The following is a 24,224-nucleotide window of genomic DNA, read 5'->3' as shown; positions in this document are numbered from 1 at the left end:
GCTTGCCGGCACCACCCTCTCTCTAAACAATGAGTTTATGAATTTGAGGGTCTTAGGGGAACATCCAGTTCTAACCCTCACAGCCCTTAGAGGCTAAGCCCCGACTCCGTGTTTCGGTTTTAGGCTTGGACTGAATGAGTTCTAGGATTCTTTGGAGATTCCACCTTAAAAAAACTGTGGTAAAATACATATAACAATATAACATCATTTACCGTTTTAACCAACTTAAAGTATACGGTTCAGTGACATGAAAGCATTTACAGTGTTGTGCAACCATCACCACTATTTGTATTCAGAACTTTTTTCCAAGTCCTTTAAAAATCTTTATTGAATGAAAATTGGTATGCATAAATTGTACATTGTTTAATACACACATTTTGAAGAGTCTGGACGTATGCATACACCACCCCAAAAGGAAAGCCTGCGCTCATTAGGCGGTCATTTCTCCATTCTCCCTTCCCTCCAGCCCCTGCCAAACATTAGTCTACTTTCTGGCTCTATGGATTTGCCTATTCTGAATATTCTACATAAACAGAACCTCACAATATGTGGCCTTTCGTGTCTGGCTTCTTTCACAGAGCATAATAGCTTCAAGGTTCTGGAGATCCACTTTTGTCTTCTACTTAGAGGGTGGAGACTGATCTAAGGAACGGTGGGTGACCGCTGGAGACCTGTGGGGAGGTCTTAACTTATTTCTGGCAGTAGTTCCTTGTTCTTGGCAGCCTTGAGCCTCTGATCTCTCCAGCAGTGGCCTGGTACCTGGAGAATTTCTGCTGCATATTTGGGGAGGTCATTTTGACTTTCACTGAAACCGCCAGGCCCTCCCTCTTCCCTGGGCCTCTGCCACCTCCCTGATCCAGTCAGATGCTTCTGTCCTGCCATCTCTGGGTCAGAAATCTGACAACTCATGGAAACAGTTCATCTTTGGGCACTTGGGCTCAGCACACTGGGTAGAAAAGCCTCTCACTTTTAATCAGAGAGCCGGATGACAAAATTAGGGGTGTGTGTTTTGGGGTTAGCTGGGGGTTTGAGTCTCAGCTCTGCCATCACCTAGCTAGGTATCCTCAGTGCTCCCACCTATCAAATAGAAGTGGCCGTGCCCATCTTTTAGGACTATGATGATTGAATGCACTGATAACTTTAAGTTACTTTGTGTAGTGCCTGGTGTTTAGGATGTATACGGTAATTGGTGATTGTTAATGAAATCTAGGTTAAAAAGATAATCAGTGCAGTACCCCATCCTCCTACCACCCTATCAACGTTTGCCATTCTAGAGTTTTTAGCAACTTTTAGAAACCACACAGGGCTTTAGTGCATCTTGTCACTAGATGGATTTGCTAGTTTTCAGGATTCTAGAAGGCTCCAAACTCAGATCATGGTTTGGTCCGTGACAAGGAGAAAACCTTGGTTATATGCAAGACCGTAACAAAATTTCCCCATTTCTTTTCTTTTTTTCCTTTTTTTTTTTTTTGCCCCGCCATTTTTGGAATTTCTTATAGTCTAAGATGATTCTTACTATACTCATGTTTCCATCCCACCAAACCTTGAATCCATTGAGACTCAAATGGGCTCTAGAGAGCATGAAAGAGTTAACGTGTCCCTGAGTGCCCAGTTTCTTACAGGATTAGGGGAAAAGTGACTTTATTTTTATTTGCAGCCCGACTCAAGCTCAGTGTAATTCCACAAACTGTTGAATACCTTCTACGGGAGTTCACAGGCAGTCCGTGGGGATGGTCACAGGCACGTGATGTCAGGTTCTGTTTTTGGCTGTCTTGAGTGATTAGTGAGTTGCGTAACCTCTTTGTTCACCAGGTCCCTGTCTGGGAATCATTTGCCCTCAGCCTGTGTGTGTCCTGTGGGGCGAGAGGGGGAGTGCTCTGCTCACCACCCTGCACCCGCTGCCCGGCTCTGCTTCCCACTCTTGGCTGGTGCCCCGTGGGCCTTTCAGGCGATCTGGGCGGAAGTAGGTCAGGGACCTTCCAGCTGTGGGATCCCCAGTGGGGTGAGTCCGTTGCTTTGCTTGGCTGTTGGAGCTGAACCCACTTTTGTTTCCTAAAGGAGTAGCCTTTTAGTTTTAATTGAAAAAGCAAGCACCGTACTTCTGTCAAGCAAAAAGGTGTGAATTTCCTTCTTTTTTTTCCTCCCTGATATTATATGTGTATTTTTTTCTTTAGGAAGGGTGAGCCTGTGGATTTTCTTCCTAAAGTCAGTTTTATTGAGGAATAATTTACATACAGTAAAATTCATCCTTTTTTTAGTGTTCAGTGGACTCCATTTCTTTTTTCTTTTTTTTTTTTCTTTTGAGACAGGGCCTTGCTCTGTCATCTAGACTGGAGTACGGTGGTGCCATCAGAGCTCACTGCAGCCTTGATCACCCAGGCTTAAGCTATCCTCCTGCCTCAACCTCCCGAGTAGCTGAGACCACAGGCATGTACTACCATGCCTAGCTAGTTTTTCCATTTTTTATTTTTTGTAGAGACGGAGGTCTCACTGTATTGCCCACGGTGGTCTTGACCTCTTGGCCTCAAGTGATCCTCCCATCTCGGCCTCCCAAAGTGCTGGGTTTACAGGCATGAGCCACTGTGCCTGGCTAGGATTTCAGTTTTTAATGCAAGGCTGTCTTCCTAAAATATCCCCATAATCAGATTTGGAGTGCTGTGGCTTCATCTAGGCATGCAGAGTTGAGTACCTGAGAAGGCAGTGCTTGATGTATGGTCCTTGAGATGAAATGGATTCAGGCATACTAAGAAAGTGGTACAAGGGAGACACATTAAAATGAGTTTTTACCCTTTCATTGTGAGAGTTGAATGACAATTGCTAGACATTTGCCTATGTAGTTTTAGAAAGATTCTAACTGGAGCAGCGCTTGGCTGGAGGAGGTCAATTGTATGTCTGCGGAAAGGGTTCAGACAGACTTGTCATCATTTCCTGGCGCTGACCCTGGCTCTTACCTGGAAAGCCCCTAAACCACCCACCCCAGGGATCCACGGTGCAGGGAAGGTGGTCATGCAGAAAACAACCTCTAGCGAGTTGCTCGGCTGAGGCCCTCTGTAGGTGACCTTGTCTTGCCTCCAAAAGACTGGACCTCCTTTTCTTCTTCAGTGGTAAAAGGAGTTTCTTGGTGCCACCGTGGGCTCTGGGCAGAGACTGTGCCTTCCTCCCTTTTGTGTCTGAGTCGCCCCGCATGCTTTGGCGCAGGGAGTTTGGGCCAGAGCGATCTCCAGCCCCTTCCAGTTCACTGGCTCTGTGATAAGGTTCCTGGGGATTTTGTGTCATGTTGCTTGGAAACCAGATGGAAATAGGCCAATTACCATTGAAGTGGGGCGGCTCCTGAATGTTCCAGGACCAGGAGATTTGAGCTAGGCTTGGGACCTTCTCTTTGCTGGGTCTCTCCCTGGTCCTGCCTCCTAAGAAAGAGAAAACAAGCAAATACTCTGTCTACATTCAGATACGATGCCTTACATGAGAGTAAGAGAGCAGGAGGAAACTGCTCAGCTGCCTCATTTTCCTCCTGGGGTGGAGGTGGATGATTGTCTTGCCTTCAATCTTTAAGAGGCTGAAGCCAGCCTCTGACCACCTTGGGCATGATGGCTGGACCCGCAATGTGCCTGTCAGTAGAAGGAAGGGAGATTTCGAAGGCTGGAGAGGACAGCTTTGTCTCTTCGCAGCAGCCTGTGGGCTCCCAGCCATATCCTGGCTGAGCGATAGCACATCCAGCTTGCTTGGGGCCAGGGCTGAATCACCATGAATCCCCCACAGCTTGGCAGTGGCTGCTTAAAGAGACCCAGGGCTGAAATAACAGGGGAGGTTAGAGGCTCTCGCTGGAATCAGGCTAAATGAGAGAATGGCAAAGATGAGGGAATCTATCAGAATCTACTGAGATTCAGGGATAGGCCGGGCCTGTCTGCAGGGGAAGAGATGGGTGTGGGCATTGGAGCATTGCTACAGGAAGCCCAGGGGCCAGCTCTGTGGGCTTAAGCTCGATGCCTTCATTCCAAGGGGCCCTTCTACTAACACAATTTAACATGATTGAGAGTTTTCACTTTGCTAAAGTCCTTAAAGACCTTGCCACATTTAAGCCTACCCACTGTCACATATATATTGGCCCATTTTACAGATGAGAAAGCGAGGCGTAGAAGGATTAAGTAACTACCCAAAGTCAAGAGCAGATGGATTATTTCTCCCTCAGGTTGTGTCGCTACCTTTTTAGGCCAATCCTTTGTTAGCTTGCTTGCACAATGGGATTCCTAAGCCTGGAGGAAGCTACCTCTATCTGCAGTCACAGCTCATTGCTGTGTGTGCTTGATTAATGTTGGTCCTGTGTTAGTCTATTATCATAGTGCTATGAAGAAATACCCGAGACTGGGTAATTTATCAAGATAAAGAGGTTTCATGGACTCACAATTCCACATGGCTGGGGAGGCCTCACAATCATGGCGGAAGGAAAAGGAGAAGCAAAGGCGCCTCTTACATGGTGGCAGGCAAGAGAGTGTGTGCAGGGGAACTGCCCTTTATAAAACCATCAGATCTCGTGAGACTTATTTACTGTCATGGGAATAGCATAGGAAAAACCTGCCCCCATGATTCAATTACCTCCCACCAGGTCCCTCCCATGACATGTAGGGACTATGGGAGCTACAATTCAAGATGAGATTTGGGTGGGGACACAGCCAAACCATATCAGGTCTCCTTCCACTGGACTGGGGAGCTGGATGTTTTTGTTGCATATTTTATCTCCAATACTTGGCAAATTAGACTCTTTAATTGTTGAATGTGGCCAGGCATAGTGGCTCATGCCTGTAATCTCTGCACTTTGGGAGCCTGAGGTGGGAGGATCACTTGAGCCCAGGAGTTCGAGACCAGCCTGGGAGATATAGGGAGACCCCATTGCTAAAAAAAAAAAAAAAAAAAAAAAAAATTGGCCAAGCATGGTGGTGCATACCTGTAATCCCAGCTACTCAAGAGGCTGAGGTGGGGCTGAGTGCAGTGGCTCACGCCTGTAATCCCAGCACTTTGGGAGGCTGAGGCGGGCAGATCATGAGGTCAGGAGATCGAGACCATCCTGGCTAACATGGTGAAACCCTGTCTCTACTAAAAATACAAAAAATTAGCCAGACGTGGTGGCGGGCGCCTGTAGTCCCAGCTACTAGGGAGGCTGAGGCAGGAGAATGGCGTGAACCCGGGAGGCAGAGCTTGCAGTGAGCCGAGATTGCACCACTGCACTCCAGCCTGGGCAACAAGAGTGAGACTCCATCTCAAAAAAAAAGAAAAAAAAAATGAGGCTGAGGTGGGAGGATTGCTTGAGCCCAGGAGGTCACAGCTGCAGTGAGCCGAGATTGTGCCACTGCCTTCCAGCCTGGGAGACAGAGTGAGATCCTGTCTCAAAAAAAAAAAAATGTTGAAGATGTGAATGAATGAATGACCCCAAACTCTTATGGCTAACTTTTTTGCCACCTAGTAGACTCCAGCTGCTGCTAGGCTGGGTGTGTGTAGAATAAGGCCCTGTGAACACAGACATCCCTCTCGGGAATAAGAGCTGAGCAGTGCACTTCACGGTCCCCAGGCGGCCCACACCATCTGTTTGCTGCAGCAGGATGGCTTGGGTGGTCCATCCAGGGCCCTGCCCAGAGTCTCTTGGGGCCAAGGCTTTCCCACCCTGTCCCTCTCACTGCCCACCTCCAGGTAGGCACAGTAGGGAGGGCTGGCAGGAATGACCCAGGAGTGAAAGCAATCCTCTTGTCTTCTGGTGGGAGGATGGAGGGGCCAGGGCAAACTGTGAACCAGCCTTTGGACGGGGTACCCACCCACTTCCGTGACTCTCCTTGCCCCCCTCTGCTGGGCTCTTTAGGGAGCATCGAGCTCTCATGTTACTTTAGTGGTTGAGGCCACCCCTGGATTTCCCTCCTGAAGTGTCCCGTGTTGCAAATGGCCCTTTGTTCTTTCTTCTCTAGGGTATGGGAAATGTGGTGGCTGCCCCAGGTCTATGCAGCAGGGGAACCTGAGAGCCTCCTAAGGGAGGAGGGGCAGAGTTTTCTAGAAGCTGGTGTTCATGTAAATAACCCTGGGTGCTTCAGTGATTAGTCCCAGCTAGGAAAGTAGACAGAGAACCAACCCAATCAAGTTGTGAGAAATTGAAAGCACTCCAGCTTTCTTACAGATATTTTCTTTTTCTTTTTTTGGTCAGGGGGACGGAGTCTCGCTGTATCGCCCAGGCTGGAGTGCAGTGGCTTGATCTGGGTTCACTGCAACTTCCACCTCCCAGGTTCAAGCAATTCTCTGGCCTCAGCCTTTCAGGTAGCTGGGATTACAGGCGCATGCCACCATGCACGGTTAATTTTTGTAGTTTTAGTAGAGACAGGGATTCGCCATGTTGGCCAGGCTGGTCTTGAACTCCTGAACTCAAGTGATCTGCCTGCCCTGGCCTCCCAAAGTGCTGGGATTACAGGCGTGAGCCACTGTGCCTGGCTGATATTTTCTTTAAAATGAAATAAATATATAATTGGAGGGCATTACAGGTGATGTGAAGGTAGCAAGGCAGCTTGTGGTTTTTAAAGGAGGAGGAGTGTGGCTGTCCCTCAGTGACTCCTCTAAGTTCAATGACCTGGAGACCAAGAGAAGGGGACATTTGAGGATCTCGACCTTGTCCTTCCAGCAGGTGCTCCCAAGCCACCTCTGGGCCTGAGAATAGGCATCACATGACTCTGTTTAATCCTCCGACACAGCAAGGAGTGGCATTCTGGATCCACACTGCCTGCCTTTGAGCCCTGGCTGAAGCCTCTCTGATTCAGCCTCCTGAAGGACTTCCAGGGACTTCGCTACTTTCCCTGTCCCCTCTCACCTCCCACTATCTGCCCCCAGAGGTGTGGCTTGAGTCACCTCCTTAGGAAGTTTGTCTTTTATGTTGGATTTCTATGTAGCTCAATTACACCATGGTTATTCCTAAATGTCAGGCTTAATTTGTTGCAAGTTTTACTTGATCCCAACAGTGTGTTTTATTTACAGTAGGGAAGTCTATTCGTATAACCTCCCTCTTTTACAGTTTGTGCTTACAGAGTATGCATAACTATTCCCAATTAAAAGAAAACAAACACACACAACACTGTTGGAGTATTGCTTATAGCGCGGGGCTTTGGTAAAGCCTCACATCAGTGTGGTCCCTTTTCTCAAATTCTGCTTCATGACAAAGCCCACATACGTACACTTACACACTCCTTCAGAACGCTACAGTCTGATCTTGTAATGGCTTGGGTTTCAATTTAAGGTTGGTAGGTTGAATCACCTAAATTTTACAGATCTCCAAATAGGTCTAAAAAAGCTCCCATTCACAGAAATGTGCTTGCTTCACCCTGGAAGATACACGCGGAAATAACAGTGCTTTGGTTTTCAAGGCTTTCGTTTCTCTTTGCAGTAACTTGCTCCTCCTGTACTTAACGCAATACTCCATCAGCTAACAAGAGAAAGCGTCTCTTTTGTTTTTTTGTCTCTGCAGCTTTATTGAGGTGCAGCTGACTAATAAAAATTGTATTTATGTATTCATGGTATGCAACATGATGATTTGATATACATTGTGAAATAAGTTTTACAATCAAATTAATCACAATCAAATTAATTAGTGCATTCACCACCCCACATAATTACCGTGTGTGTGGGGTTGGGGGTAAGGACACTTAAGATCTACTCTTTTAGCAAATTTCAAGCGAGCCATGTTGTATTATTAACTATTGTCACCATGCTGTGCTTTAGATCCCCAGAACAAATTCATCTTGTAGCTGAAAGTAATCAGGTTCTATATGTGGTCCCTGGACTGAAGTCCTCTCCTCCCTGGTGGCTGGGAAACCATGTAGGACAAAGGGCATGAATGTCTTCTGGGCAGATGCTAAGTCCCTGTAACCAATTAGATTTTTCTCTTCCGTGGACTGATCCTCCTGTGGTTTCTGGGCAGAATTCAAAGTGAAATGGGTTCTACCAGCCACTCAACCAGACCACAGAGGCCCTAGGGAGGCAGCAAGCTCAGGATGGGTCCTGGGCATTGTTTTGCTTGGGGAAGTGAAACTGGCATCCTTTGCTTCAAAGGCTTCATCCCTCCTGACTTGAAGGTGTGGCCTTGACCAGAGTGACAAGATTGCAAACACTGGGGTGAAGAAAATGTATCAGGTTGCAGCCTTTTTCCTTCCAGAATATTCTCAACTTCCTGTTGCTTTTTCAAATCAGTTACATTTTCAGAAGAGACTCTTAGTTTAAAGCAGTGCCCCTCTTTAAGAGGTTGTGTTGTGTATTAATTCAAGCTGAGCTTGGCATGGAAGAGCATTCCCTCTGACCAGTAGCTTGTTTTTTTTTTCTTTCTTTCTTTTTTCTTTTTTTTTTTTCTTTTTCTTTTTGCAAGCCAGAATGGCGCTGAAGAATTCCCCAGCATGGGGTAGGGCTCAATTTCTCGGAACCTTCCAAGCCGCCTTTTTTTCCCAGTTATCCTAAATATATAGCGTTTTATAGTGTTTCTAAGCATGGGGACAAAGTGTTTTGCACCAAAGAACAGGAGTCTCAAAATAAAATATGGGCTTCCTTTGGACAAGGAACCATGGCCGCAGTTAGCATGCTGGGCAGGTTCCTGGTTCAAGCTCAATTTGAACTATTTCTAGATATGCAAGCAGTTTTATAATCTCTCTCCTTCCCCCTATTCCTTTCACCATTAAAAAAAAACCAGGCTTATAACTTTGCTGACTATCAAATCCTTTGTCCTTCCTGTTACATGCGTTACCACAGGAGCCTGCTCAAAGCTTTTCCTTTAGGGAGTTTCAATAGACACTACAGAGAGATGAGAAGGAAATTAAACTCGGTGGGGGTTGCCCCTGTACCCCGAAAGTAATTCCATGATTGAAATGCCAAAAGCCCGAACATCTCTTTCGCTGTCAGACCCAGAGAGGAGAGTGAGACAAACTTGAGTTGACGAGAATGGAACTTTAATTTCTGGGTGGTTGTTCGAAATCATCAGTCTGGTTTTGGGGAACATGACTGTCTCGAAAGTCCTTTAACTCTTTCCAGTCCCATAGCTTTTTCTTTCGAGGGTAGTGGACAAGTTAGTTTACCAGGGAAGTCATTTATTGTCCAAAATGAATTTAAGTTAAAGCTACTCATTTATTGGTGGTAAGGCAAATGGGTTCAGGCTTTCTGGAGGAGAATAGCCAAATGAATGAAAAGCCTTGAATGGCATATTCTTGACATGCTATCAGTGCATTTCTAGAAATTTCTTCTGAGGACACCATTGATAAGTTTGCCCATCCTGTGTTTATGAGACAGTGAAAAATGCAAACTGTGGAAACGCCCTTCAGGAGCAGAGTATCCCCATCCATAGAGTGGAATATTAGGGAGCTATTGAAAGTGGTGCTATAGGCTGGGCACGGTGGCTCATGCCTGTAATCCCAGCACTTTGGGAGGCCGAGGTGGGCGGATCACCTGAGGTCGGGAGTTCAAGACCAGCCTGATCAACATGGAGAAACCCCATCTCTACTAAAAATACAAAATTAGCCAGGCATGGTGGTGCACGCCTGTAGTCCCAGCTACTCGGGAGGCTGAGGCAGGAGAATCGCTTGAACCCAGGAGATGAAGGTTGCGGTGAGCCGAGATCACGCTGTTGCACTCCAGCCTGGGCAACAAGAGCGAAACTCCATCTCACACACACACACACACAAAAAAAAAAAAGGAAAAAAAGAAAAAAAGACGAGAGAGTGGTGCGTGATGCTATAGACTTATATTTGTTGATTAAGAAATCTGTCCATGATATATTGTTGTGTACAATCAATTTGTTTTAAAACCATATGAGTGCCTTACAATGTGATATCCTGGAACAGAAAAAGACATTGGTGGAAAAACAGGAGTACTCTGAATAAAATCTGTAGTTTAGTTAAAAGTAATGTACCAATGTTAATTGCTTAGTTTTGACAGATGTCCTGTGGTTATGTAAAATGTTCACATTAGGCAAAGCTGAGTGAAGGAACTCTTTGTACTATCTTTGTCAATTTTCTGTAAATCCAAAATGATTATAAAATAAATTTTTTTTCCAAAAGGCATATAAACACATTTAAGACTTTTGGAAGGATTTTAAACAAAAGATTAACCCTCTGAATGCTGGGATTATGGGTGATCTTAATTTTGTAGTTTTCAATGATAATTTTGTTAAAAGCCAAGAAAGCTCATTTGTTCTGTGAAAAGAAAGTAGCCTATAAGTATAATTTCGTTGTTCAGATACTAGAGCCCATCTCTCCATCACAATTCACAGTTGTTTCTGGGTTGAAGTCTGCCCTTCTGGGTACAGCCAGGCATGGAAGAGAGGCTATGATTAGAGCAGGGACTTTGGAATTGGAGAGACCTGGGTTTGAATCCATCACTTGCCAGCTGTGATTTTGGTTAGTTACTTTGTTTGTGGCCCATTAAAAAAATATCTGTACAATGTGTTTAATGACGCTGATCTCATAAGGCCATTGCAAGAATTAAATGAAGCAATTTAGTGCAACTAACAATGAATGCTTCCGTCACTTAGGGGAAGAGCCTGGAGAACTCTGTCTCCAGCAGATTCTGGTGTTGAATGTATCTCACTCCGAACACATCTTTTCTGAAAACTTTTATGCCAGTCGTTACCACTTTTGTGATAGAGGAGAGTGTGAATTCTATTTATTTGTTAATGCACTGAATTATGGGCTGTTAGGAGCTGTTACTGAAACATGGAGTATTTAAGAATCATTTTTATGCCCTTCTTATTCCCATCTCACTATTTCATGCCCTGTGCCCCAAATAATCTTGGTGCAATGTGTTTGTATAGCTTATGTCTGCATTAGGCCGGTTAAGAGAAAATCCTTCATAGGAGTTTTTGTTTTGTTTTGTTTTGTTTTGTTTTGTTTTGTTTTGTTTTCTCAGCCAATATCCTCACATAGAGGTCCATTGACCTCACATGTCCTTGCTCTCCTGGATCACTGAGTACTTGAGAAGTCTCGCGAGTGTCCTTGGGGAGATGGCCACTGCCATCATCCCTGATGGACGGTGACTGATAAAATATGTTTCTGTAAGCTCTCTTGTGTAGGAAGGGTAGCCCTGGGGTCATTAACTCAGAGCTAAAGCCCATCGCTTTCCGGCCCAGAGTAGAACATTCTGCACGTGGACCCAGAATCCAGGCCGCCTGCATTCTGATCCCAGCTGGGCCACTGCTTACCTCTGAGAGAGGTCGCTAAAGCCCATCTGAGCCTCCCTCCTCCTTGATAGGTGAGTGGCTGCTTAGGCTTCCTGGGTCTCATGTTGCAATTTCAGAACATTTGGCAAGAAAAAGCATCATCCTCACTCACCCTTTCGAACACAAAACAAGACAGAACAAAAAATCCCAACATCAGAGGCCTAAAGGCTTTGAACATACCATTAAAAAAAAAGTTTATTTAATATTGGATAAAAATATACTGCCTTACCTTTGAAAAAACTAATTAAATAACTAGCAAGGCTTCAAAGCATTTCCTCTTCCCTCTGCTTTCCAGGAGGAGAAATATTTTTCAAAGTCATTTGAATATTAAAGAGCTGGGCCCAGAAGCCCTCCATGTCCAGGATGGAGATCTGCAAGTCAATCAAGTATTTTTTAAAACGTTGGTTTTATGCACGGTTTGAAGCGGAGACCCTTTCCCTCCCGCCCCATGGTGCTTCCTTCCCCGTTTCTTTTATTTTTATGTGTGTGTGTCAATTCCGTGTGTATGCTGAGAAACTTAATCCATTTGTTTCTGATTCATTTACACTTAACTCATCAAAATGCTATTTAGTGAGAGGTATTTCAAATTCGAGAAGTGCTTCATCTCGTGGAACAGGAAATTGCATCTTGCTGTGGGTAACGGAATGCAGACGCAGGCCGCTCTGACTTTGGCCTTAGCTCAGACCCCAAGTGCATCTCTACATCAGGTGGCTTTAAATCCAGCCCCGAGTGTCCCAAAGGCCTTCTCTTCCCTTCCTCTCTCCCGACTCCCCTTGATTTGTACACTAGGGATTTGTGTAAACCCCTCTGAAAACTCAGCATGTCAGTGTTCTTTTCACACGAAGCCATTTGGGATGTTCTTTGCTCCTTCCACCCGCCAATATTTTATTATGGAAATTTACAAATATACAGAAAATGGAAAGAATTTGACACCAGCACCCATATACCCATCATGTAGATTCTACGGTTGACTTTTTTTTTTTTTTTTTTTTGGAAATGGAGTCTTGCTCTGTCGCCCAGGCTGGAGTGCAGTGGCACCATCTTGGCTCAAGCTCCACCTCCCGGGTTCACGCCATTCTCCTGCCTCAGCCTCCCAAGTAGCTGGGACTACAGGCACCTGCCACCATACCTGGCTAATTTTTTGTATTTTTGGTAGAGACAGGGTTTCACCTTGTTAGCCAGGATGGTCTTGATCTCCTGACCTCGTGATCTGCCCGCCTCGGCCTCCCAAAGTGCTGGGATTACAGGTGTGAGCCACCGCACCCAGCCTTTTTTTTTTTTTTGACAGAGTCTCGCTCTAGTCCCAGAGGCTGGAGTGCGATGGTGCAATCTTGGGTGCAATCTTGGCTCACTGTAATCTCCACCTCCCAGGTTCAAGCGATTCTCCTGCCTCAGCCTCCCGAGTAGCTGGGATTACAGGCACGTGCCACCATGCCTGGCTAATTTTTGCATATTTAGTAGAGATGGTGTTTCCCCATGTTGGTCAGGCTGGTCTCGAACTCCTCAGGTGATCCACCTGCCTCGGCCTCCCTAAGAGCTGGGATTACAGGTGTGAATCTCCGCGTCCGGCCCACAGTTGACTTTTGTATTCCACAGTTGACTTGCTTTATCACTTACCTGCTCTTCCAGCCTCTTTCTGTCCCATGTTCTTTGATCCATTCCAAGTAAGTTGCAGACATTAGTATTCTTCTCTCCAAATACTGCGGTGTTCAGATCATTCACTCGAGTTTAATATTTGATGGCAGATATTTTTTCTTTTAAAGTAAAATTTGCATGCACTGTACTGCAACGAATCTGAAGTGTACCATAGGTACAGAATAATACCAGTGCCCTGCAAAGTGTCTTCATGGTCTTTGCCAGTCCACCCTCACCCTTAGACCCTCCCGTGATGGCGGAATGATATGGTTTGGTTGTGTCCCCACCCAAATCTCATCTTCAAGTGTAGCTCCCAACCCCGTGGGAGGTAATTGAATCATGGGGACAGTTTCCCCCATACTGTTCTCATGGTAGTGAATAAGCCTCATGAGATCTGATGGTTTTATAAATGGGAGTTCCCCTGCACAAGCTCTCTTCTTGCCTGCTGCCATGTAAGACGTGCCTTTCTCCTCCTTTGCCTTCTGCCATGACTGTGAGGCCTCCCCAGCCACATGGAATTGTGCCTCCATTAAACCTCTTTTTCTTTATAAATTACCCAGTCTCAGGTATGTGTTTGTTAGCCATGTGAGAACAGACTAATACATCTCCATAGCAACACTTCTGATGTCTTTCTGCCTAGTCTAATTTTGCCGTTCTAGGAGAACTTCATATAAATGGAGTCACACATGATCCGCTCTTTTGTGTAACTCTTCTTTCACTCAGCAAACTTTTTGAGATTCCTCCATGTTATTGCCTGTATCAGGCTCCTCCTGACTGCACAGCAGTGTCCCACTGTGTGACCGTCCCACAGCTGTGTGTCCATTTCTTCTCTCACTGGGTGCCTGCCCTGCTTCCAGGTTTTGGCTGCTTCGAATAAAGTTGCTGTGAGCATTCTTGAACAAAACTTCTGGTGGACGCATGTTTTCATGTCTCTTGGGTAAATAACTCGGAGTGGAATTGCTGGGTCATAGAGTAGGTGTATGTTTAATTTCATAAGAAACTGCCAGACCTTTTCCAAAGTGGCTGTACCTACTTACACTCCCACCAGCAATGTCTGAGAGTTCCAGTTGCTCCAGTCCTCATGGTGGAGGTGCTGACACTTTGTAAAATTGCAGTCATTCTGGTGGGTGTGTAGTGGTATCTCACTGTGTCCTTACCTTATTTTATGTGTGTTACCTCTGTCACTGCTGAGACCAAGAGTCACATAAAATGGCAGGAGAGGAATTCTCACATAAAGTAGGATGTACTGTGCCAAGTTAGCTCAGTTTGACTTCTTGTTTTTTTTTTTTTTTTTTTTTTTTTTTGGTGGGGAGGAGGGGGGTCAGGGTCTTGCTCCCCAGGCTGGAGGGCAGTGGTATGATCATAGCTCACTGCAGCCCTGACCTCCTAGGCTCAAATGATCCTCCCGTCTCATCCTTGTGAGTAGCTGGGACCACTGACATGCGCCACCATGCCTGGCTCATTATTTTATTTTATTTTATTTTATTTTTTGTAGAGGTTTCTTTTTCCTATGTTGTCCAGGTTTGGCCTCCCCAGGTGCTGGGATTACAGGTGTGAGCCACTGCGCCCAGCTAGTTTGACCTCTTGAGGACTTTAGAAACCCCCCTTTCCCTTAGACTATTAGAGATTTTTAATTCCATGTTTTTCCCTCTCTTGTGGATCTGTTCTCCCCTCAGAGGATACCCAACTCCATGGCAGAGCCTACTACTTTCACGGTCATGTCCCCACTGCCTGGTTCTGAAGGGAGCACGTGAGTGCTTTGCAGGGCTTGGTATGGGTGCAACTTGTTTCTGTGATTCTGGAATCAGCCTCACCAGACTTGGCCCATGAGGCCAGGACCTCTGATTGACCACCTGGGTCCCATGTCCAGCAGAGTGAGAGACGTATAGTAGGTGCTCAATAAATATTTGAACAAAGGGATAAGTAGAATTTCCCTTTTTCTCTCTTACAAGTCATTTATTCAATAAACGTTGTCTCAAGGTTATACGGTGCTAAGGAAGGCACTCAGAGCACTTTAGGAGCTCTGATAGAGATAGAAGGTGAATACGAGCTTGATTGCCGGGTAGAAAGAAGGTGGTAAGTGCTGCAAGAGACACAAGGGAATGACATGCACCCTGAATCAAGGTCTGCACGCTGTCACTTGGCAGCTGTAGGACCTGGTCATGTTGCTTGTCCCCTAGGCCTCCATGTGCCCATCTGTGCAATGGGATAGTAGTGGTTTGCACTGTACAAGGTGGTTGTAGAAGTGAGAGCCTCTGCCTAGAAAGCCCTTAGTATAGTGCCTGGTACGTAATGACTGCTCAAGGAAGGGGGAGCTTTTAGTTACAGACATGTACGATCTGAAGAAATGAAAGGCATTGAACTTTGGTGGGTAAATTGGGTCTTTTCCAGCAAAGGTATAAATCCTTAAAAGCCAAGATCATATTGTTTGATTTCTCTGGGCTCTCTGCTGGATACAGTGCCAAGTCCATAACTGTATACCCCATGGACACTCTATGTTAAATGGAGATTAATGTGTAAGAGGTGTTTTTTTTTGTTTTGTTTTGTTTTTTAATTTGGAAAAGAAGCTTAAAGACCACAATGGGTGTGGCATTGGCTCGACCCACAGATCTGCTTAGTCTCAGACAGGCACTTTGAACCAGTCTTTTAAAATTGCGTCACAACAACTGGTGCTTCATAAGGATTTGATGATATTCTTGGACATAGGATATGGAGTTCTCTTCCTGTCCAGCCTCGGGCTATGAGGACTAACCCTGCTAAGTCTGATCTCTTCTTAGGAAAGTCAGGAGGATTGCAAATAATCACCATGACATGCCTATAGGGGACTAGCCTGTATAAAAGAGAGCGTCAGAGTCTTATTTCTAAGAATAGGAACGAGGAGGGAAATGGTGAGTGGATGTGAACTAGACAGGTCACCCGGCAGTCGGCTCTTTCTTCCTAGAATGTCCAGTTCACGTCTGTGTCGCCTCTAAGGGCTGCATGGATCAGAATCACCCAACACTGGATCCTCACCTACCTGGCCAAACCAGTCCTGACTTTGCTTCTTGTTCAGGGACCCACAGCACGATGCTAACAGCTGGACCTGATGTCAGAGGCGGAGAACTGTCTGGATTTCCCTCCCAGCCTCCTCCTCCAACGCCCTTTTGATCCAAGATTGAGTAAGAGACATTGGCAGATGCTGAGAAGGACAACCCAATTGTTTTAACTTGCAGACCGAGGGGGAGATGGGTTCCAGTCTGCACATGACTCGTGCACAGTCCCCCCACCCCACCCTGACTTAGAAAATTCCAAACCGACTACAAGACCAGAAACAAACCACATGCCAGTCGCCCCCTTGTCTGTACACACATGTGGAGTTCAGAGCCACCCTTGGAGAGAGGCTGCTCAGGCTCAGCTCCCTGTGCTGGGCTTTCTAGATCTAGCTCTGTTCGGGGGAGTTCTTAGCCCGTTTTCTGGGGTTGCTGCCGTTTGGATGCAGGGTGTGATTCTTAGGGGTTAGGGAGAGGACCACCCTGGTAAAAAGCCAGGTTAATGGGACAATCTTCCATGCAGCTTGGCCCCCTCCATTCCCCTGTAGCTCCTCGCTCAGCCGCACTCTGAGAACAGCTTTTGCTCTGTTTCCTGGTCTCTGAATGCGGTAGCTGTGTCCCCGGCCTGCAACGAGGGCATATCATGTAACTCCTCCCGGCTTCATTCCTATGCAGGACAGGTAGGCTGCAGGCTCTAACAAGCCGCCAGCCAGGCTCCACTGAGGCCTCGGCACCGGTGGAAATTTAAAAAAAAAAAAAAAAAAAAGAGCAAGCAGTGGGGAGTGAGCGAGTGAGGGAGAGAGGGATTATTTTGTTTCAATGTGTTTGAAAGCGGGATCTGTGGCCAGTTGGGGTTTTTTTTTCCTCCCCCCGTTATTTACACAGTCTGTTCGGAGACACACTAGGGCCTGTTTGGATTGGGTGTTTGCTCCGGAGACAGGCCAAGTATTCCAGCACTGCGCTTTGGCACTGCCACCTCGGCGGCACCAGGAGGCCCAGTCGGTCACAAGACCTCACGGGGCCTCCTTGCTCTCTGCTTATCCTCCTTTCACCTCCTCTCCCTTCCTCACCACTGATCCCAGCCACCTTGGGCGGCTGGGGAGCGAGGCTGACCGCTAAGTGGACCTGACCTTCAGAATGAGGGCTTTCTGAGGCAAGGGCAGGGAGGGGTGTGGCTCGTGGAAGACAGAGAGAAGGGTTGGGGTAGGGACCCAGGGATAGATCTCTAGAAGGGTCTGGATTCCCTAGGGGCCTGCGATGAAACTTGCACTCTGTGGAATAGTTCCAGGGTTGAGGAGGTAAGCAGAGGCCAGACCGCCCTGGAAGTTTGCGTAAGGGCTGTTCTCCTGGGGGTGCTGAGCTGGGAGAAGGCTTGCCTGGGGAGGTGGCGGGGCCAGAGCTAGCCAGAGCTGTCCTGCAGGTCCCTGCCATGCTGAGGGTGATGCAACACCAGCATCTCTTGCTAGAAATGCAGACTCTCTAGCCCCAGCCAGACCTACGGCATTGGAATCTGCATTTTAACAAGGGTCCCAGGTATTGTGTGTGTACATTAAAGTTTGAGAAGCACTGCCTTGGGCCCACGTATCCCACAGGCAGTTAGTTTCCTGGCATCCTCATGATGTCTTGAGATGCTTTTGGACAAAGGGATTCTGCAGACCAGTACATTTGGAGAATGTTACAAAATGTACCCCCCACCCCTTGGAAATTGATTTGCTTATGCTTGCTGGTGAAGTCTGTGAGAAGTTCCATAGGAAGAATCCATCTAGTTTGGTTTAACTCAGTGTTTCCCACATTTAACATTTATTTATTTATTTATTTATATTTTTATTTCTTTCTTTCTTTTTTTCTTTTTTCTTTGAGATGGAGTCTCACACTGTCACCCAGGCTGGAGTGCAGTGGCATGATCTTGGCTCACTGCAACCTCTGCCTCCTGGGTTCAAGTGATTCTCCTGCCTCAGCCTCCCAAGTAGCTGGGATTACAGGTGTGCACCACCATGCCTGGCAATTTTTTTTTTTTTTTTTGTATTTTTAGTAGAGATGTGGTTTTGCCATGTTGGCCAGACTGGTCTCAAACTCCTGACCTCAAGTGATCCACCTATCTTGGCCTCCCAAAGTGCTGGGATTACAGGTGTGAGCCAATGCGCCTGGCCCTTATTTATTTATTTTTAAATGGACACATAATAATTGTAGATAAATGTATGGGATACCTAGTGTTGTTTTGATATATACAATGTATATTGATCAGATCAGGGTAATTAGCATATCCATGATCTCAAACGTTTATCCTTTCTCTGTGTTGGGAACATTCAATGTTCTCTCTTGTAGCTATTTCAAAATATATATCATTGTTAACTGTAGTCATCCTACAGTGGTATAGAACACTAGAACGTATTTCTCCTGTCCATCTATAATTTTATAGCCTTTAACAAATCTCTCCCCATCCTTCTTTTCCCCCTGCCCTTTCCAGCCTTGAATAACCTCTGTTCTACTCTTTACTTCCTATGAGATCTACTTTTTCAGCTTCCACATGAGTAAGAACATGAGGTGTTTAGCTCTGTTCCCAAATTTGACTGAGATCATCTCCTACCATTTCCCCCCACCGAGGAGTGAGCGTTAATGTTCTGTAGGGCTGGTGGTGTGTGGCTTCTGATTATTTATTTATTTATTTTTTTGAGATGGAGTCTCGCTCTGTCACCCAGGCTGGAGTGCAGTGGCGCGATCTCAGCTCACCGCAAGCTCTGCCTCCCAGGTTCACGCCATTCTCCTGCCTCAGCCTCCCAAGTAGCTGGGACTACAGGTGCCTGCCACCACACCCAGCTAATTTTTTTGTATTTTTAGTAGAGATCGGGTTTCACCGTGTTAGCCAGGATGGTCTCAATCTTCTGACCTCGTGATCCGCCCGCCTCGGCCTCCCAAAGTGCTGGGATTGCAGGCGTGAGCCACCGCGCCTGCCGGCTTCTGCTTTGAGAAACACTGTTCCTGTCAATCAGTTTACTCTTGGGATTTTCCAGGGAGCTTATCTTCACTTTAGATAAGAGGTCGAGAACATAGTGGTTAACAGGTGGATTTTGGAGCTAAACGAACTGGCTTCTGACCCTTTCTCAGCCCCTTAGTAGGGATGTGACTTTTGCCAAGTTATTTAGCTGCTTTGTGCCTTGGTTTCCCCTCTATAAATTTGGACTTATGATAGCACTTACTAGATGGAGTTGTAGCGAAGTTTAAATCATATGATACGAGGCTGGGCGTGGTGGCTCATGCCTGTAATTCCAGGACTTTGGGAGGCTGAGGCAGGCGGATCACCTGAAGTCAGGAGTTCAAGACCAGCCTGGCCAACATGGTGAAACTCCGTCTCTACAAAAATACAAAAAGTATCCGGGTGTGGTGATGCATGCCTGTAATCCCAGCTACTCAGGAGGCTGAGGCAGGAGAATCACTTGAACCTGGTAGGCAGTGGTTGTGGTGAGCTGAGATTGTGCCATTGCACTCCAGCCTGGGCAACAGGAGCAAGACTCCGTCTCAAAAAAAAAAAAAAAAAAAAAAAGTGATATGGATTTAAATTAGGATAGTGCCCAGAGCATAGAACCCTCTTAATAAATACTGGTGAGCTAATATTTTTGAGTCTTACTCTTGTGGGGTCACTGCCTCCCTTGTATTCTAGATGAATAATCTCAAACCCACTGTGCATCAGAATCACCCGTGGAGCTCTTTTGGAAACACAATTTCCCAAGGCCACAGGCCAGGTCTATTGAGTCAGTCTCCAGCAGGAAAGCCTGTGAATCTGCATTTTGAGAAGCTTCTTGGATGGTTCCAAGGTAGCCAACCTGACTTTAGATGGCAAGGGAGCAGCTGCTCTAGAGCCACTATAGCTGAGAAACACCTGCTCTGATTTCCCACACTGGTTTCAGTCACATAACTCAGAAGGGTCTGTGCAATCAAGCCTAAGGCTCTGATGTTGGTGGTAGAGCCTTCCTCGCTTTGCACTTCAGTTTCCTTATCTGCAAAATGAGGCAGCCATGCAAAGTGTAGTCCTTGGACCAGCGACATCAGCATCATTTGGGAACTTGATAGAAGGCACAATCTGTGGCTCCATGCCAGACCTATGGAGTCAGAATCCACATTGTAACAAGATCCCCAGGAGGCTCTTGTTAAACAGAAATAGCACCTCTCTAGAAAAGGTTGAAAAGAATCAAGTTTGCAAGGAGGCAAAGGCAGTAGTCTTCTTTCTTGATGAGAGGAGAACTCAGTAAGGCTGAGGAAGGTGCAGTGTCAGTGGATATTGGAATAGTGACCAGCTGTTATCCATTCATACTGGACAAGAGGAAATGAGCTTCAGGAGCCTCAGGGAGTATGGTCAGATTTATGAGAACATTTCCTGACATTGAAGGTTACAAGTTTCTGGGAAGGTTTGCAGGAATAAGTAAGCTTTGGATACGCTTCTCTAGAGTCCATTAAAATCAGATTGATAGCTCTGCATCCGTTTTACAAATGTTTATTTAGGTGCCAACTATGTGCCAAGCTTGGGCACCAGTAGCTTGAGGGAGCACTTGCAGATGGCAGTGGCTCTGTATGGCTTCTCTTTATGTTCACACTACCCATCACCAAGGATAGACATATATTTGCCTGTGCACAGAGCTTTGCATGATCCCATTGTTGGCATGGATCACCAGGGCACTCCAGCACAACCCATGGCCTCGTGGAAGTGTATCAGTTATCTGTTACTGAGTAACAAACCATCCCAAAACATGGTGGCTTAAAACAGCAACTGTTGTATTTGTCCATGATTCTGGGGTTTGGTCTAGGCCTGGCTGGGTGGTTGTTCTGCTCATCTGGTCAGTGGTTACTCATAAGGCTTCATTCTGCTAGAGAATTGGTTGGGGAACTGGGCTCCGCTGGGCCACTAGGACACTAGGCCTTTCTCTCTTTTTTCATATCATTTAAGGGCTTCTCTTTCTCCACGTGGTCTCTCAAGCTATCCTAGAGGATAGCTTGACTTCTTTTTTTTTTTTTTTTTGAGACAGAGTCTCGCTCTGTCGCCCAAGCTGGAGTTCAGTGGCACGATCTCGGCTCACTGCAAGCTCTGCCTCCTGGGTTCATGCCATTCTTCTGCCTCAGGCTCCCGAGTAGCTGGGACTACAGGCGCCTGCCACCACACCCGGCTAATTTTTTGTGTTTTTAGTAGAGACGGGGTTTCACCATGTTAGCCAGGATGGTCTCGATCTCCTGATCTCGTGATCTGCCCGCCTTGGCCTCCCAAAGTGCTGGGATTACAGGCGAGAGCCACCGTGCCCGGCCTAGCTTGACTTCTTAGATAGCTGCTAGACAGACTTGATATAGCTTGGCTGTGTCCCCACCCAAATCTCATTTGGAATTGTGGCTCTCATAGTTCCCACATGTTGTGGGAGGGACCCATTGGTAGGTCATTGAATCATAGGGGTGGTTTCCTCCATACTGTTCTCGTGGTAACGAATAAGTCTCACAAGATCTGATGGTTTTATAAGGGAAAACCCCTTTTCCTTGGTTTTCATTCTCTCTCTTGCCTGCTGCCATATAAGACATCCCTCTGCTCTTCCTTTGTCTTCTGCTATCATTGTGAGGCCTCCCCAGCGATGTGGAACTGTGAGTCCATTAAACCTCTTTCCTTTACAAATTACCCAATCACAGGTGTGTCTTTATTAGCAGCATGAGAACAGACTAATACACGGCAGAAGGCTTAGGCCTAGAACTGGTACAGCATCACTTTCTGCCGCATTCTGTTGACTGAAGCACGTCACAGGGCCAGCCTAAATTCAAGGGTAGGGGATTAAATGAAGGCATGGATCTCAGCAGGTGAGTTTCACTGGGAGCCACCAACATAGCAGATTACCATGTGAAGTTGCCACTGCTGCATCTCCTGAAACCTGGCTGATGGGAGAGGTCTCATTTTGTGTCTGAGAATGTCCAGGTTGTCTGCAGACCACAGCACTGATTTCCCATTAGCAGTTATTATTTCCTGGCCATTTCTTCCTGAAGGTTTTGTGGTTAAACTCCCTGTCCTCAATATTTTATCAGCAGTAGGGCTGTCATTCTTCTGGTTATCAACCTCTACATTATGAAGTAAGGTTCAACCCTTCTGCTTTTCTCAGGCCCCCAAAACGGTTCCTATCCAATCGAACACAAAAACGGGTATTGAGAAGGAATTGGCAGGGCTCAGTGGCTGTTTCCGTTGCTCCTACCTCATGGAGACTCTTACTCATGCTGGATTTATTGAGAGAACTTCTAACTGACCACTCACCCCCACCCACTCTTATGCAGTCTGTTCATTCCTGAAAACACCACTTTCATCCCTCCTGCACACAACCCATGAGGGATTGCTACTTCCTACAAGATAGATTGGAATCCTTGGATAGAGATGAAATCCTTCCTCGATCCCGTGCAAATACCTTTTGAGGTTTACCCCTGTCTGCTATGAAATGGACTCTGTTTTATCCACGGTGGTCCCCTTGGTGCCCCTCAAGCTTGACAAGCTGATTTCTTACCTCTGCACACCTGATTTTATTGTCTCTCTCTCCCTCCTTTCCTGCTGATGGGAATCAGTTCCAGCTTTTGAAACCTAGCTGAAGTCCTCCCTTCTGCATGAAGCCAGCTCTGAATACTTGCATCATGGTGTTAAAATCTTTCAACATGTACGATCTTTTTTTTTTTTTTGAGACAGTCTCACTCTGTCGCCCAGGCTGGAGTACAGTGGTGCAATCTTGGCTTGCTGCAACCTCCACCCCCTGGGTTCAAGTGATTCTCCTACCTCAGCCTCCCTAGTAGCTGGGACTACAGGTATGGTCCACCATGCCCAGCTAATTTTTGTATTTTTAGTAGAGATGGCGTTTCGCCATGTTGGCCAGGCTGGTCTCGAACTCCTGACCTCAGCTGATCTGCCTGCCTCAGCTTCCCAAAGTGCTGGGATTACAGGCCTAAGCCACTGTGCCCGGCCACTTGTATGATCTTTACTAGGCATTTGGTGCTACTCACAGTCTGCATTATTCTTTTCCTTTCCTTTTTCTTGTATGAAATTGCAGCCTTTGAAGCAATGCCTCTGTCTTGAAAAAGAAAGAAGCTCTTTCTCACAACACTGTTTAGCGCTTTGCTTTATATATGGAAGATACATCTTAAATATATTTTGCAAGGCCGGGCATGGTGGCTCACACCTGTAATCCCAGCACTTTGGGAGGCCGAGGTGGGCGGATCATGAGGTCGAGTGATCGAGACCATCCTGGCTAATATGGTGAAACCCTGTCTCTACTAAAAATACAAAAATTAGCTGGGCGTGGTGGCGCGTGCCTGTAGTCCCAGCTACTCGGGAGGCTGAGGCAGGAGTAGTCCTTGAACCAGGGAGGCAGAGGTTGCAGTGAGCTGAGATCGTGCCACTGCACTCCAGCCTGATGACACAGCGAAACTCTGTCTAAAACAAGCAAATAAACAAAAAAATCTATCTATGTATATTTTGCTCTGTTGGGGAGAGAACAGATTTTTGTTCTAGATCTGGATCTGTTCTCTACATTCTGAAGTTTCCTAGATGTTACTGAAAGGGCAGTTAGTTGTTCTACCAGGAAGCAGCTTATGTGACATTAATGGCTTTGAAGCCTCAGAATGGAATGGTAAGGAAGGACAGGGGCTGTTGAGGCAGACTTGCTTGTAGGCAGGTGCAGATCCTGGCTCTGCCCTTGCTTAAAAAGCAGTGTTTTTCAACTGGGCTGATGATGGCATTTGGGTGGGAAAAGACCTGAATGATGTAGATCTCCGGCTTTCCTGCCCCCTGCCTACTACATTTCAGCAGTCACCTGTGTGTTGTGACAACCCCAAATGTTCCCTCACCTTATTCCTCCAAGTTCCCCCTTGGGAACCTCTGAGATTAACTTGATAAGCTCCTTGGGCAAGCTCTTTATCCTAAGATTCCTCAGTGAGCCTTATAGAGTTGCTGCGAGAATTACATTTGTTCATGATGTCAAGTGTCTGATATGTAGCTAATGCTTATTGAACACATAGTAATTTATTGAATAATTGTCATGATCACTGGATGAGATATAGCCACTGTGGAGGTAGGCACACCAGGGTTTTAGAGGCTTGGGATCTTGCAACAGGATTTTCCTCTTGCCTCTCCAAACTGCCCTTTGCCCAGATGGCTTCAGCATCTTTTTGCATCCCTGTTTCCTTGTTTGGTGAACACCTGTCTCAACCTGTCTGCAAGGCGTGGTGAGATTCTACATCCTTGGTAAGCACTCATGTCACTCCAAAACAGCTGTTTGATGCTAATAGCACACATGAGGTCTTGCAAATTTGTCTGAGGAACTACAGGACATTGGAGAGATATT

The 24,224-nt window shown here is 46.3% G+C and overlaps 1 long non-coding RNA gene across 5 annotated transcripts in view, besides 4 other annotated features; it reads left to right on the top strand.

Annotated features, from left to right (window-relative positions):
• LINC00673 (long intergenic non-protein coding RNA 673) overlaps nt 1-24,224 on the top strand; it is a 189,483-nt gene that overhangs the window by 74,013 nt on the left and 91,246 nt on the right. The gene's annotated exons all lie outside the window — the stretch shown is intronic.
• Nucleotides 1,387-1,895: an enhancer, noted in NCBI's record as "H3K27ac-H3K4me1 hESC enhancer chr17:70513037-70513545 (GRCh37/hg19 assembly coordinates)". NCBI's record gives its function as "activates a minimal SCP1, AML or CMV promoter by ChIP-STARR-seq in primed H9 embryonic stem cells {active_cell/tissue: H9 hESC(primed)}" and the evidence as "EXISTENCE:reporter gene assay evidence [ECO:0000049][PMID:30033119]".
• Nucleotides 2,858-3,047: an enhancer, noted in NCBI's record as "active region_12680". NCBI's record gives its function as "activates an Ori minimal core promoter by ATAC-STARR-seq in GM12878 lymphoblastoid cells {active_cell/tissue: GM12878}" and the evidence as "EXISTENCE:reporter gene assay evidence [ECO:0000049][PMID:35858748]".
• Nucleotides 3,195-3,695: an enhancer, noted in NCBI's record as "H3K27ac hESC enhancer chr17:70511237-70511737 (GRCh37/hg19 assembly coordinates)". NCBI's record gives its function as "activates a minimal SCP1, AML or CMV promoter by ChIP-STARR-seq in naive H9 embryonic stem cells {active_cell/tissue: H9 hESC(naive)}" and the evidence as "EXISTENCE:reporter gene assay evidence [ECO:0000049][PMID:30033119]".
• Nucleotides 7,822-7,951: an enhancer, noted in NCBI's record as "active region_12679". NCBI's record gives its function as "activates an Ori minimal core promoter by ATAC-STARR-seq in GM12878 lymphoblastoid cells {active_cell/tissue: GM12878}" and the evidence as "EXISTENCE:reporter gene assay evidence [ECO:0000049][PMID:35858748]".

The sequence above is a fragment of the Homo sapiens genome, chromosome 17 (genome assembly GCF_000001405.40).
Source record: "Homo sapiens chromosome 17, GRCh38.p14 Primary Assembly".
Taxonomy (NCBI): domain Eukaryota; kingdom Metazoa; phylum Chordata; class Mammalia; order Primates; family Hominidae; genus Homo; species Homo sapiens.
This window is presented reverse-complemented; position numbering and strand designations above follow the sequence as displayed.